This window comes from Homo sapiens, chromosome 2 (genome assembly GCF_000001405.40).
Source record: "Homo sapiens chromosome 2, GRCh38.p14 Primary Assembly".
NCBI lineage: Eukaryota > Metazoa > Chordata > Mammalia > Primates > Hominidae > Homo > Homo sapiens.
In genome coordinates this window covers 1,796,548-1,811,465 of record NC_000002.12, presented here as the reverse complement: position 1 = coordinate 1,811,465, position 14,918 = coordinate 1,796,548, and the positions used below count along the sequence as shown (strand labels likewise).

General features: G+C 51.6%; 1 protein-coding gene across 28 annotated transcripts in view, besides 3 other annotated features; it reads left to right on the top strand.

The window, feature by feature from the left end:
• MYT1L (myelin transcription factor 1 like) overlaps positions 1–14,918 on the top strand; it is a 542,163-nt gene that overhangs the window by 519,810 nt on the left and 7,435 nt on the right. For 17 of the 28 annotated variants that reach the window (XM_011510326.2, XM_011510318.2, XM_017003604.2 and 14 more), the window contains 2 exons: positions 2,299–2,390; positions 9,667–9,776. In XM_011510326.2, the coding sequence (XP_011508628.1) occupies positions 2,299–2,390; positions 9,667–9,776 (202 nt within the window). The remainder of the gene's footprint in view (positions 1–2,298; positions 2,391–9,666; positions 9,777–14,918) is intronic. The other 11 variants (NM_015025.4, NM_001303052.2, XM_011510324.3 and 8 more) reach the window with 1 other exon arrangement.
• Positions 6,861–7,493: an enhancer, noted in NCBI's record as "H3K27ac-H3K4me1 hESC enhancer chr2:1807745-1808377 (GRCh37/hg19 assembly coordinates)". NCBI's record gives its function as "activates a minimal SCP1, AML or CMV promoter by ChIP-STARR-seq in naive H9 embryonic stem cells {active_cell/tissue: H9 hESC(naive)}" and the evidence as "EXISTENCE:reporter gene assay evidence [ECO:0000049][PMID:30033119]".
• Positions 8,720–9,219: an enhancer, noted in NCBI's record as "H3K27ac hESC enhancer chr2:1806019-1806518 (GRCh37/hg19 assembly coordinates)". NCBI's record gives its function as "activates a minimal SCP1, AML or CMV promoter by ChIP-STARR-seq in naive H9 embryonic stem cells {active_cell/tissue: H9 hESC(naive)}" and the evidence as "EXISTENCE:reporter gene assay evidence [ECO:0000049][PMID:30033119]".
• Positions 9,220–9,721: an enhancer, noted in NCBI's record as "H3K27ac hESC enhancer chr2:1805517-1806018 (GRCh37/hg19 assembly coordinates)". NCBI's record gives its function as "activates a minimal SCP1, AML or CMV promoter by ChIP-STARR-seq in naive H9 embryonic stem cells {active_cell/tissue: H9 hESC(naive)}" and the evidence as "EXISTENCE:reporter gene assay evidence [ECO:0000049][PMID:30033119]".

The window sequence follows — 14,918 nt, the reverse complement described above, 5'->3', positions numbered from 1 at the left end:
GCTTCCCGTGCGGCTTGCCCTGGGATGGGATAGGACGCGGGAGCTGATGATGCTGGAGCTGATGACGCCAGAGCTGATGACGCCAGAGCTGATGATGCTGGAGCTGATGACGCTGGGGTTAAAGTCCCCGCTGCTCCTTCTCCCACTGAACCTAGGAACATCATCAGCAAACACAGCAGTTCACAGCCACAGAGTTGTGGTATGAGCAACAAATACTGGTGATTGTCTTAGACGTTCCAGGGCTGCAAAAACAAATACCATACCTTGGGCAGCATAGAAACCAGAAATTTATTCCTCCAAGTTCTGGAGACTGGAAGTCCGAGACCGAGGCACCAGCAGATTCGGCATCTGGCAACTGCTGCTCTCTGGTTGGTGGACGACGCCTTCTCACTCTGTCCTCACATGGGAGAAGGGGTTAAGGAGCTGTCTGGGTCCCTGTTATAAGGGCACGGATCCCATCACGAGGCCTCCTCACTTCCCATACGCCCCTTCTCCTAACACCATCCCGGTGGGGGTCAGGATTTCAGTGCACGAGTTTTCAGGGGACACAGTCAGGCAACAGCAATGATTATTTAGAATTTTATGAATATTCTATTATAATTATGAGATGCAAACATCACATCAAAAAAATAACAACTTAGACCTGTGGTGTGGATGAAGAATACTGGAAATATTTTTATACAAAGATAGGATTTCCCCAAAAACAACCACTAATATCCCCAGTTGAAAATGTATTACGATCAAGTTCTTCTGCTATGAATTTTCCTGTTTTCTTAAATTTTAAAAGAAAATGTATTACAAAAATAATATTTAGAAAGCTTAATTATATTAATGCAGATATTAGAGATATTTCTAATAATGATGTAATCTGCCTGCACTAGTAAAGAGTGTTTCTAGATATATCACTAACACATCATCACACCACTTACGGACACGGTCCATCTAACACTTCATATACAGGTGAAATACAATATTATGTATAGAGAGAATAAACACATATGTCATATACATATATAAAACATTATAGGCGGGGTGCGGTGGCTCATGCCTGTAATCCTAGCACTTTGGGAGGCCAAGGCGGGCAGATCACCTGAGGTCAGGAGTTGAAGACCAGCCTGGCCAATATGGTGAAACCCTGTCTCTACTAAAAATACAAAAATTAGCCAGGTGTGGTGGCACACACCTGTAATCCCAGAGGCTATAATTCTGTAATCGGGAGGCTGAGGCGGGAGAATCACTGGAACCCAGGAGGCAGAGGCTGCAGTGAGCCGACATCGGGCCACTGCACTCCAGCCTGGGTGACAGAGCAAGACCCTCTCAAAAAAAAAAAAAAAAAGCGTTATATATAGAAGTTTTTCACCTCACCCATAGTTAAGTGCCAGATGGCCCCTGGCCTTTAGCACAGTGAGGACTCCAGTTGACCAGCACGTCCAGGAGCCCCTGGAAGGGAGGGAAGGCCCCTCGGAGACTGAGGAGTTGTGAGGAAGCCGAGGCACGGGACTGCATGGAAGAGGCGCTCCGCACACAGGACACGCCATCTTCAGCAAACACCCAACAGGACAGAAAAGGAGGCAGAGGTGCCTTCCTGCCCCGGAGGCTGCCAGCCACATCTGCCACATACACTGTGAAGAGCTGAGACGCATCCTGACGTCGACAAACCAGTGGCTGAGAAAAGTGAAGAGACACCTGGAAAGTTTGAAAACAGACTGAATAGCTGCTGATACTAGAAAACTGGCTAAAAATTGTAAGTGAGATAAGGAGATTGCAGTTATGTTTTCACCTTTGAGACTGGGGAAGCAGGAGGGGCACAGGTGACTAGCCTTGAGAGATAACAGCTGAATTTGGGGTGAGTTCATTATTCTGCTGTCTCTACTTTTGTATATTTGAAATTAACTTTTAAACCCAACCTTTCTATGAGCTTGATGCTTTCCATAATAAAGATTTTTAAGCAATATTATCACTCTACAAAAGTTCCAAAAAGCTCTGAAAGTTATACAATGAAGGGCAGATTTCCTCTGCTCTCAGAGCCCCAGCTCCCAAGACCCCCCGCCAAGAGGCAGCCCCAGCCGAGCACCCATGATCAGTGCTCACCACATGCATGAGTGCACACACATGCACCCCATGTGTGCATAACTGTCATACTGTATGCATTGGTCTTTTTGCTTTTTCTCATTTTCAGACAGCCTTTTGCTGGCAACCAACCTAATAATGCTATTCTACGCCTTGCTTACCACCACTTCCCTGCAGGGCTGGGACATTAGACAGTTGACTAATGGCCGTCCTGTGTCTTGTCCACAGCTTGTCAGGATGCCCGAGAGCCACGTCAGCGATGAAGAAGGCAAAGCTTTCTGGAGAGCAGATGCTGACCATCAAACAGCGGGCCAGCAACGGTGAGCACCCCTCCAGCCCTCGTGGCACCCATGGTCAGGAAGGCCCAGCGGGCACGGCCATGCCAGCTGTGTGTCCTTTGACAGTTACAGCTCACTTTTCTTAGAAAGCAGGGGCAGAGATAATTCTGGCCCTCTCATCTATAAAGCGAAGCAACTTGAGAAAAAGCAGTCTTTCTCAAAACCGTCTCCCACCTTCACCGATTTCACTGCTCACCGGAATCATGAGCCCAAGTCCTGAGGGTCTCTCCAGCACTGGACGATTTACTCCCTGGAACCCCAGTGTGCCCACATTTCTGCCTGTGTCCCTCAGGCCCTCATCCAGGGTTTCTCCACCCAGGAGCAGCTTTGGGGCCACCCCAGGCCACAGATAACAAGGATGGCACCCCCTCCCCTGTCGCCCTCACTCTCTGCATGTCTGGTGCCTGATTTTCTTGATTCCACCTGCAAATCTGTTTTGTTCTGAGGGTCTCTCTTGTCACCAACCAGCACAGGTGTGTAGAGAGTTCTGCAGAGGAAAACTGGGGGCCTCTGGAGGAGCAGGAGAGAGGAGAGCCACTTAAGCCCTTAGAAACATCCACAGTCCACCCTCATGATCTGGGGACTCTATTTGCGAGGTCACCTCCCTGCCGAAATTAATTTGTAGACGCAGGCAATGATCTCAGTGCTTTTGTAGTTAGTCCTGTGCACTCGCAGAGCAGCTGAAGTGTCTGGTGTTCCTAAGGGCAGGGGGCTGTGATGTGCCTCACAGAGAAAACACACGCTAGCCAAGCTCCCTTCAGACAGGAGTCATGGTTGTGACTGTTGGCTGGGAGTTTCTATGTTAAGGAATCCACAGTATCTATTAAATAGGTTGTCTTTAAATGGGAGCACACATAAAACAGGTGTATTCGTGCATTCTCACACTGCTATGAAGAAATACCCGAGACTGGGTAATTTATAAAGGAAAGAGGATTAATCAACTCACAGCTCCACATGGCTGGGGAGGTCTCAGGAAACCTACAATCATGGTGCAAAGGGAAGCAAATGTGTCCTTCTTCACATGGCGGCAGGAGAGAGAAGTGCAGAGCAAAGTGGGAAAAGCCCTAATAAAACCTCCAGATCTCATGAGAACTCAGTATCAGGAACAGCATGGAGGTAACCACCCCCATGATTCAATTACCTCCCACCAGGTCCCTCCCACGACACGTGGAGGTTATGGGAACTATAATTCAAGATGAGATTTGGGTGGGGACACAGCCAAACCATATTAACAGGGTTTTTTATTGATCGATTGACAAAAATGGGACCAGAGGGTGGCAGGAGCTTGGCCCTTTGTTTCCAAAAGCAGTGATTCTGCTCTCAGCCTGTGTGCAGTAACTTTATAGCACATGGCTCCTGGGAATAATGAGATCAGCTGTAACCTGTAGCCATTGAGCAGACTGGTCCCCTTCACAGCAGAAGCCCAGCCTCCCCTTCTCAGCTTTCACTTGCAAGATGCACCCCTAATTTTGTATTTCTAAATGGAGCCTGCAAACCTCTTCAAGCACCACAAAGCACGGATGCCCTGGGCTGAAGGCTCCCAGACCTATGATGCACAGATCCACCCTACAAAGCTGAACCTGGGCAGAACCTGGCACCCTCCTGCTGTACCTTTACCAAAGGGCACCTCCTCCCCAAATCCACCAAGAGTGAGCCACACCTGAGCAGCTCCCAAGCATGCAGGCATGAAGCCCCTGGCCACAGCCACGGGGGTCTCCTCTCATCTGACTGTTATTGGTGGTCCTGAGGACAGCATGAGAGACGCCTGAACGTCCCACGTGTGTGTACCTGCAGGACTCCCTCTGCCAGCAGCCAGTACAAACTATTCCTCAACATGTGGCCCATTGTTCACCAGAAAGGTCATCAGCTTCTTGACATTGGTCCTCAAGGTCTGGGGCTCCTGGAGGCATCCTGTCCCCCAGGCTGCTCCTGTCTCCCAGGCTGCTCCTGTCAGTTTCTGCCTTCCAGAATACCCTGACCCACCCTCACAACCTCTCCCTGTGGATGCAGTCCCAAGCAGCCAGTGTAAGGACCCCGCTTTTGAGACACCAGGATAGCCAACTTTCGCTTTCTAGTTATTACGGAGCAGTGCTCCTTGCCAGAAAGAAAACATTCCCTAAGCCCCATCTGCATGCCGGGCGCTTTTCAAAATACTTAGAGGGCATTTCACCCCCGAATAACCCTGGATTAAAGTGGAAATCCTTAGACAATTGATCCGAGTCCACGTGCCTTTGTTCCCCATTAATGAAGGAAGTGGCGGTTAGGTTAGGTAGGCCAGTTCAAAACAGAAAAGGAAAGAAAATACGGAGAGAACAGATCTGCCAATCCTAGAGGAGGGGCCATTCACACCTGGGCTGGTCCACCTGGGCGGCGGTGGGCAGATCCCTGAGGTGGCCATCTCTTCATCGGTGGGCCTGAGTCGGCATTGAGGGCACTAGACATTCCTATTACTGCTGCACACAAGGAGTTAATTCACAAAAACAGGTGCTAACTCGGAGGGATAAAGATAAGCAGTTGGTCTGTGACTCTAAACTAGAGGAACCAACAACTGGGTGTCATCCCACCAGAAAGCAGCCGGGACACGGGCATTCCAGGGCCACCGTCCGCCCGCTGGGCCCAGCTGCTGCTGCTGGGCAGCCTTCAGCCAGGTCGCTGCATTTCACCCAAGTTTCTAGACACACAGTTCGTGTTGTGCTAAGTTTTAGGACAAACAGTTCCCCTTGCTGCAGATCCTAATGCACGCACGTCCATGGGTAAAAAAGAGGAGCTGCAGGTCACTGGGAGAACAGGTGGTGGAAGTGGGTCTTCCTAAGTCCAAGTGTGTGCTGATGCCTGGGGCTGTCGATTCCTGACACTGTTTGCACCAAACTGAGATAGTTCTTTCTTACCCCCAGAGCACAGTTGTGTGCCCAGGCATCATTTCCATGTCTGTGTAGCTAATCCAGGAAGGGTCCAGGGACCTTTCCTGCTGCTCATCAGGGGACAGAGGCACAGCATCCAATTCCTGCGGCTCTTCAGGGGACAGAGGCACAGCATCCAATTCCTGATGCTCTTCAGGGGACAGAGGCACAGCATCCAATTCCTGATGCTGTGGTACCATTCTTTGCATCTGAAGCTCTGTGTTCCTGTTGCCCTTGCTGTAGATGTGGAAAAGACAATCCCTCTCTTTTTTTGGACTGGGTCTCGCTCTGTCACCCAGGCTGGAGAGCAGTAGCACCATCTTGGCTTACTGCAACCTCCGCCTCCCAGGGTCAAGCGATCCTCCCACCTCAGCCTCCTGTGTAGCTGGGACTACAGATGTGCACTATCACACTCAGCTAATTTTTGTATTTTTGGTAGAGATGGGGCTTCGCCATGTTGCCCAGGCTGCTCTCAAACTCCTGAGCTCAAGCAATCCACCTCCCTCGGCCTCCCAAAGTGCTGGGATTACAGGTGTAAGCCACTATGCCTGGCCTTAAATATTTTACTATAGATGAGGTCTGACTATGTTGCCCCCTGTGTTGCTCTTGAACTCCTGAGCTCAAGCGATCTGCCCACCTCAGCCTCCCAAAGTGCTGGGATTATAGGCGTGAGCCACCATGCCCGGCCTTCTTTTCTTTCATATCCTGAGTGTAAAGCCTTTCCTGGGGTCATTTTTATACCTTCAGTGTAACAAGAGTGCGCAGCAGCTTCCCTCCATGTGAGGCCCAGACACTGTGTGGGACAGAGAAGCCACCGGAATCCACTGTGAGGCACTGACTCGGCCAAGAAGGACCCTGGCACTGGATTTTAGCGCTTTCTCTTGAGCATTTGTCTGAAAGGGAAGCAGCTATTCTAAATGTCCTTGAGGTTCCCTTCTGGCTCTAAAGTATTTTTCTTTCTTTCTTTTTTAAGTTTAGGGATGAGCCTGCTCTCATGTCTCTGCCCAACAAGGATCACCTTATTTTCTTTATCCGTGGAGTGATCTCATCACGCATTAGTACTCAGCTCTGCCTGAGCAGCCGGCGTGGCTGTTAGTGAGTCTCCCTTCAGAACCCTTTTGCAGAAGTTCACTGTATGCCTCTTAGCACCTTGGCACCTTGGCTGAAGTTGTACCATCAGTGGCTTTTTGGCGGGTAGTGGGGGCAGGGGCAGTGTTTAGGAGAGAAGGAAATAAGATAATGCTTTTTCTTTCCTTTTACTATCACAGCAGAAAGCAAGCTAGGGAAAGGAGCTCTAACCTCCATCAAGCCCTGAAAACATGAAGCGCTTTGTCAGGAACTTCACCTACTTATTTCGCTTAATATTCCTGAGAGCTCCAAACTGTGGGAACTCACGTTTCTATTCAGCTGTAAGGAAAAGGAAATTCCAGGAGGCATGGAAATTCCACCAAGCCATTAGTGAGAGTGACCAGCGCTGGCTGGGTTCACCATGGGACACTGGTCTCTCAAGAGCTACCAGGATCCTGAAGTAAATCAAAATCTTCCAGGACCACGCTATGCTAATTTGAGTAGGATTTGTTTGCTTCTTTGCTTTGGTGTCCAGTGGGTGGATTTTCTGGCTCTGAGATGCTGCTTTTTGGCTGGGCCCTCCCTGCTCAGGCCAGTTTTTTATAAAGGCAGTTTCTCCTGACAGCTTGCAGGCCAACTGGTGGAATGTATTATAAAACCCTAGTTGTGGCTGGGCGCGGTGGCTCACGCCTGTAATCCCAGCAGTTTGGGAGGCTGAGGTGGGCAGATCACCTGAGGTCAGGAGTTCAAGACCAGCCTGGCCAACATGGTGAAACCCCATCTCTACTAAAAATACCAAAAATTAGCCGGGTGTAGTGGCAGGCACGTATAATCCCAGCTACTCAGGAGGCTGAGACAGGAGAATCGTTTGAATCCGAGAGGTGGAGGTTGCAGTGAGCCAAGGTCACGCCATTGCACTCCAGCCTGGGCAACAAGAGCAAACTCCATCTCAAAACAAACAAACAACAACAACAAAAAAACCCTAGTTCCAGCCTAACCATCCACAAAGTGAGGCTCAGCTCAGAGGCCCCAGCAACCCCAGGGACTGCTTCCTGGGCCAGTCACTGCCCTGCTGCAGGGATAAGGAGAATTCCCACCCAACCCAGAGCTCTCCTCTCCCTGAGGGGGCTTCACGCCGAGGCGCACGTGCCTGGGGGCTCGCAGGATGTCCCAGGAATGTGGCTGTGGACAGCTCTACAGAATCAGTTTGCAGGCCCTCCTCTTCCACATACCCTCGTCCTACAGAATCTCATGGGCCGGGAATGCTCTGTGACCTGCCGGTTCTTCCTGGCACCGTTTCCCTGTCTCCCTCCTCCCCCTTACAAAGGAATGGCATGCTGCACAGAGCCGCAGTGGGCAGCCCCAGGACTGAGACGTTCCCAGGCTCCCACAAAGGGCTGTTGGTGACCACTTGGGCCTGAGGGTGGTCCCCCAGGACAGAGCAGAGCTATGGAAGTAATATCCACCCATCCATCACTCCCAGAACAAAATTAGAGATGAAAGGTTGTCATGGGACCCGTATCAAGACTTTTATTTGGATTTAAAATGACACTGACTTCTGTCAGAACAGTTGACCTGATCTGGCAGATCAATTAGATAACAAAGCCTGATAGGCCAGTTAGTTTGACATTTATCATGAATTCTTCAAACTAAGCATCCCAGTCCAAGGTTTTTGAAAGGCCTCTGCGAGATGGGATTCCTAGGAATGTGCTTGAGAAATTTGCCTGTGACAGCTGTAGAGGGTCGAAGCTTCACCACGTCCAGTGTTCTGAGGGCCTCCTTCACATGGAGGTGTTCTAAAGGCATTTGGATGCTTGCAGTTTAACAGAAGCTTGTGGGGAATGCTTCTGAAATGATACGTTCGTTCATAATTTAGTTGCTTTATGAATTGGGATTTTTTGCATTGGGTATTTTTATCTTGAGGGTATAACTTTTTTTTCGTTTCACTAAAAGCCGCATCTAAGGCCCAATCCCACTGATCCATCACTTTCTCTTACTCTCATCTTTCTAACGTCTTGGTAGAGAGGAGCCTCCACCTCTGTTCTGCTGATGTCAGCAGGGTTTTTGGGGTGCTCTCAGGCCTCGGCCTCTGGTTGATTGTACCCCTTCTGCCCTTCTGTCTGCAAAGCTTGAAAACAGCATCTACCCACTGGGAGTCCTAGGAGGCCTGGATACATTTTCCATTAGTTTTGAGTAAAGATCCATTGTGGTGCTGTGTGGCCAATGAGAACAGCAATCTCAAATCCTGAATTTTCTAGGGTGATTGTGTTTGCCAAACTCCTGCTCTCCTTCTGTGTACACCCAATTGTGTGAGGTCAAGTGGTCACAAATAGAGAGGAATCTCCTTCTCTTTGGCGTTGGCAGTGTAATGTTGCCAGTAACCAGACACAGCCGGCCAGGGAAGCAAGTGTCCAGAATGGCCTTTGTAAATATGGGCATCTGGGCCCTGTGCCCAGCTATGCCAGGACTGATCCAGGTGCCCCAGGGACCTCGGCAGGGCAGCAGTCACCCACCAGGGACACTCAGATGGTCAGGTACACACCTGGCCGAGGTCATCATTCTGGCAGAGTTTACAAATTGGGAATTCTGTTAGTTAGTGCATACTTTTTAATCATTCAGAATGAGATTTTTTATTTGCTAAATGTCGAATATTCAGAGAGCCCTTTTGTGGCCATCTCCCTCCGGCCAGCCCCCATGTCCCTCTCCCACTTCCCACAGCTTCCTGTCGGTGGGTAAGGTGAGGTCATCCTCAGCGTTTGCTGGACGGCATTTGTCGTTACACGTCTGTTGCCCATTTTCCGACCCAGAACCTGACCTGAGTGAGGGCGGGAGGACCTGGCCTTGTTGGTGAACGTACCTGCAGAGCCTGGCTCCAAGCCTGGGGTGTTTGCAGAATGACTGATGCAGACAGCGAGTCGAGAGAGAGAACAAAAGCAGGAGAAAACAGGCCAGGCTCAGCAAATCGGCACTCAGGACCAGGTGGTTTCTGCCTCGATACATCTAAGACCCAGGTTAACTGTCCCTGGGAGCTCGACCCTCAAAGTGCCTGGGAGTCTTCTGTGCGTCTCAATTGTTTGTTCCTTTTTGTAGGGGAACTTAGGTGGGGAAGGGGCGGTGGTAGGGAATAGAAAGACACAGAGATTGTGATGATTTTTTCCTTTCTAATTCAAGAGTCTATTTTCCAAGCAAATTCAATTACGAATATAAAAGGAACAAAGAAAGCTCCCAAAATTCTAACTCTAATATTTTTGTATATAACAGTTTTAACATACTAATATTCATTATTACAGGTATAGAAAATGATGAAGAAATCAAACAGTTAGATGAAGAAATCAAGGAGCTAAATGAATCCAATTCCCAGATGGAAGCCGATATGATTAAACTCAGAACTCAGGTAACAGTTTTTGAAGCCCTCAATTTTAGCTCTAACACGCGCCATTATACCAGAGATACATGGCATGAAATCAGCTTTTAGGAGAGCTGTCGTTTCCTCTTATTTGCTCTTTTATTTCCTTTATTTTTCCACCTTATGATATTGGTCTTCCGCAGACACCATTCCGTGGCAGTGTTCGCTGTAGCAGGGGCCGTGGTTCTCTCGTTTTCAGTCTGCATGTGTGTTTGTGTTTTTTAATAAAGTGCATTTGTGAATAGGCATTTTCAGAGGATCGCCTGTTCCTGCAAACAATGAAGGTTTTCCTTCCAAGATACTTCAGGTCCTCCTGTTATTTAATCACTATATTAAATGTATGGCGACAGCCGATGTTCCCAGAATTTAAAACAAGGAGTGCCTGCCACATAGGACTCCTGGGTGTCTGGGATTTGGGGAAGTGGCCCCAGTGACTTGCAGCTGCAGAGCCTGGGGATGGAGAGAGAGCAGTGGCAGCTGGCAGAGCAGCTGTGGTCACCTAACCCCCTCCATGCCCACAAGCAGCCCACAGGGTAAACGTCCTCAGCCTCATCTTAAACATACAGCTTCTAAGATGGAGAGGCAGCTTCCTCAGCCAAGCCGAAGCCACAGAGGCCAGGCTGGACCCTGTCTGACCATGAGCCTTGTGCCTGGCATCCCCCACCTTGCTGTGTTAGGGTCCCGCCGAAGTACACTCTGGGAGTGGAATTTATTTGCTGACCACCCGACCCTCACATTGCCCACAGGGTGAGCAGAGGTGTCCCTTCCTCTTAGAAATGAGGTCTCCATTCTGGCCCCTCCCCAGCAGGCCACGGTGTGATGAGGTTCTCGGGGGATGCTGACCAGCCTCCATGAAGGTTGCTCGGTTTGCTGGGAATGAGCCCCGAGAACTGGATGGAGATGAGGATGGTGTCACCGCCAGCCATCTACGTGATGATGCTCTCCTCCTAACACACTCCGAGGGCTCCCTTATTATCCCCGCTCTGTAAATGCAGAGGTTGAGGCTGGGGAAGGTTGAGGGCCTTTCCCATAGTCAGCCGGGTGTGGTCAACGGCTCTGCTCAACAGGTGGTTTCTACCCACTGGACACAGTTTTCCCAAGGATGGAGACATCCTCTGGGGCTGGGGCCCCACCAAGCAACCGAAAGGGATTTCCAGGCCCCCCGTGAGTACCAAGGATGAGGCCAAGGGTGGGAACTCCCCACCAGGCCATGTGGCTGCTGCCTGGGTGTTTTGATGCCAACCTACTTCCCCAGAGGGCATCACTGCCTTGATCTCACAGACCTGGTAGCCCCAGGGGCTGTGTTCAGGTCTTCCCAGAGTCTCGCATTGGCCTGGCTGGGGCTCACCCAACACAGGTTGGAATTTCCCTTAAGACTTACCTGAACGTTAGGCTTGGGGAATGGAGTAACAGCCTGTGGCATTCCTCACCCCCGGGACCAGCCGAGGCCATGGAGGCAGCATCTTGGACTGTATAGGAGACTCCATGGCTGCCAGAGCACTCAGGAGCTGCTGTTTCTGGGAGAGAGTAGGAGGTGACCAAGTCAGCAAAGATTGTTTAATTGGGACAGATCAAAAATTCACCCTTGAGTATTACTCCGTTCTCACACTGCTAATAAATACTTGAGACTGGGTAGTTTATAAAGGAAATGCGTTTAATGGACTCACAGTTCCACATGGCTGGGGAGGCCTCAGGAAATTTACAATCATGGCAGAAGGTAAAGAGGAAGCAAGGCACCTTCTTCACAAGGTGGCAGGAAGGAGAAGTGCAAGCAGAGGAAATGCCAGACACTCATAAAACCATCAGATCTTGTGAGACTCACTCACTATCATGAGGACAGCATGGGGGAACGCCCCCATGATTTAATTACCTCCACCTGGTCCTGCCCTTCACAGGTGGGAATTATAGGGATTATAATTCGAGGTGAGATTTGGGTGGGGACACAGAGCCAAACCATATCAAGTTGTATTCTGTTTATGAGGGTGACAAGCCTGAAAATCTTAATTTATTTCCTCCTTTGAATGGCACCTTTTGGGGCACTCTCTGATGAGGCAGAATGCCCTTGTCTGTCCAGGGTGTTGAGTCCATGGTCTACTGGGGCAACCCAATTCCAATAGGATGCCATTCAGGAAGGGGGTTCTTCCCACTTTCCAAAACCCCTCCTTCTGCAGTGAAGGCCTGCTGCTCCGTGGCTGTCCATGAGGGATAGACGGCAGCTCTGATGCCAGCTGTGGATGAAGTACTGGGGCTGGGGCTCAGCCGAGGGCTGAGTAGGCTTAGAGGTCATGCCGCCTGGATCTGAGCCCTAAAGAACAACGCATGTGCCTACGCAGGCTGCTTAGAGTAGGAACCCCAGGCACGCTCTGCACCTGCACGGGCGTGGCCTCCCCCTCAGGAAACACTCAGGTCTGTGTCTGTTCTCACTGGCTCCTTTGTGCCTTTATCTCTGAGATGAGTAGTTGCTCCTAACAGCATCTATTTGGACCTGATGTCAAAAATGAATGTGAAGAGTTCACATTTATTCTCACTGACTCGGCTGATGAGAGAGGTGACTTCCCAGATGTGCCCAGGGATGGACCTTCCTCTATTCTAGAAGGGATGGGAATGCGCTGAGCCGGAGTCCCCCAGCTCTGCAGCTCTCAGGGTCGGATGATGAGCTCCAGCCCAGAAGTTGTTCTGTGAGCACCAGGCCTGAGCTCAGAGACAGGCAGCTGCTGACTCAGGCAGCTTAGAGCCTGATGTTCTTTAAACAGGTTAGATCTGGAGCAAAACTTACCAGAAAACAATGTGCGCCCACAGCCAGGAGCCCTCCTTGCTGCCTGTGCCTCGGCCACTGCCCGGGGAGTATGGAGGAGGAACGTGGGGCAGGCCAGCTCTCCAGGGCATAAAGCGGCCCTGCCTGATGGCCTCGGCCTTCCTGCAGCAGCCTTCATGCCCCTTGCATTTTCCTTTAGAAGGTCCTGACTTTCCCGTGCCTCTCAGGCCCGCACACCCTCAGGGAGCATGGCCAGGAAGGGGAACTGGCCCAGACCCCGTGTTTTCTTGTCCACTCTGACCCAAGAGAAAGGCAGACTTCTCCCAGTGCGTCATGACATGTTCAAGACACACTGACACGAGGATGCAGACCTGTGCACAGAGCCCAAGCCAGAGATGACACAGGGCTGCAGGCCTGTCCCAAGCCCAAGCCATGAGATAACTGAGAAGTGGGTGCCCACGGCCTGATGTTCTCTCTGGAATGGGAGCGGAGGAAAGAACGGTAGGGTCAGTGCTCAGGCCTACAGCCCGGTGATGAGGGTCCTGCACAGGGAGAGGTCCAGATTTAAATCTGATAAAGAACAAATCCAAGAGAAGGAAAAAGGAAACTCCGTCCAAGCCTTTAAATTTCACACCTGTGCCGGATGGGGAAGACCGCCACGCCTGTGCCGGATGGAGGGAGACCGCCGCGCCTGTGCCGGATGGAGGGAGACCGCCGCGCCTGTGCCGGAGAAGAGGGAGACCGCCGCGCCTGTGCCGGATGGAGGGAGACCGCCGCGCCTGTGCCGGATGGAGGGAGACCGCCGCGCCTGTGCCGGAGAAGAGGGAGACCGCCGCGCCTGTGCCGGATGGAGGGAGACCGCCGCGCCTGTGCCGGAGAAGGGGGAGACCGCCGCGCCTGTGCCGGATGGGGGGAGACCGCCGCGCCTGTGCCGGATGGGGGGAGACCGCCGCGCCTGTGCCGGAGAAGGGGGAGACCGCCGCGCCTGTGCCGGAGAAGGGGGAGACCGCCGCGCCTGTGCCGGAGAAGGGGGAGACCGCCGCGCCTGTGCCGGATGGGGGGAGACCGCCGCGCCTGTGCCGGATGCAGGAAAGGCCTCTCCTGCCACTCTCTGCGGAAGGGGTTGCTTGTTACCTCTCAAGCCCAGGAGTGTTCTTACTAAAACTTGGAAAGGTATTTTTCACTGTTCAGTTGTAAGAATTCAAATTAGGACAAACGCAATTTTATTTAATTGAGAAGATGAGGTTTCCAATTTGGAATGTGTTTAAATGCTATTTGAGGTCCAATTAGTGCGACCAACACAATTCCTATGTGGCTGAAAAATCCATTCTTATGCTTGGCAGCTTGAAAAGAAGAGTCTGCGTCGGGGTCTTCACCTCACACAAACGCAATCAGAAGTCCGGGCCCCTGGCCGGGCACAGTGGCTCACGCCTGTAATCCCAGCACTTTGGGAGGCCGAGGCGGGCAGATCACGAGGTCAGGAAATCGAGACCATCCTGGCTAACACGGTGAAACCCCGTCTCTACTAAAAATACAAAAAAGCCTAGCGTGGTGGCGGGCGCCTGTAGTCCCAGGTACTCGGGAGGCTGAGGCAGGAGAATGGCGTGAACCCAGGAGGTGGAGCTTGCAGAGAGCCAAGATCGCGCCATGGGCGGGAAAAGAAAAAAAAAGAAGTCCGGACACCGGTCCCTTCCCAGTCTCTAATGCAGGCTTCCTCTGGGGGTGGCCCAGCACCAGCAGAACGGCCGAGGTGCCTGTGGGGTCTGCGTTTCCCCAACCCCATTCAACTGGATTCAGTGTGGCCTCAGCTTCAAGGGCTGAAGCACCCAAGCTGGACACACCCAAGCCTTGGTTCTGGACTCCACGATTCCCCAGACGCATCTCATCCGATTCAACTCAGTTCACACCAGAGCCCGGAGCAGAGACAAGAAAAGCTTGCCCTCGGCCCCAGGGGACACCCAGAAGTTGCTTGTTATCAGAATCCGGAAAAAAACAAAACTGCCGCTGAGGAGGAGAGAGCAGGGGACTCAAGTGCAGGGCACGGCCTGGGCAAGCGGCATTTGTGTGAACCACATGAGTGCTGAGAGCCGGAGTTCGAGACCCCACCGTGGGGGCCTGGAGCAAGGAGCCCGAGGAGAGACGGCGGGAGTCCTGCAGACACGGGAGGTGGAGGAGGGAAAGGAGCACTCCAGGCACAGGAAACAGCAGGAGCAGAAGGAGGATGGCTCGGAGCCGGCTGGGAGGCTGGGATGCTGCCCCCCGTGGCCCAAACAGCAGGCATTTGTCAGGGAGGTGGGGATGGGGGTATTTGAGTATAAAAGGGAGCTCGTGTTTTCAGGACAGGCTATTCACAAGAAACCCCCCAGCTCCTGGTGCGAGGG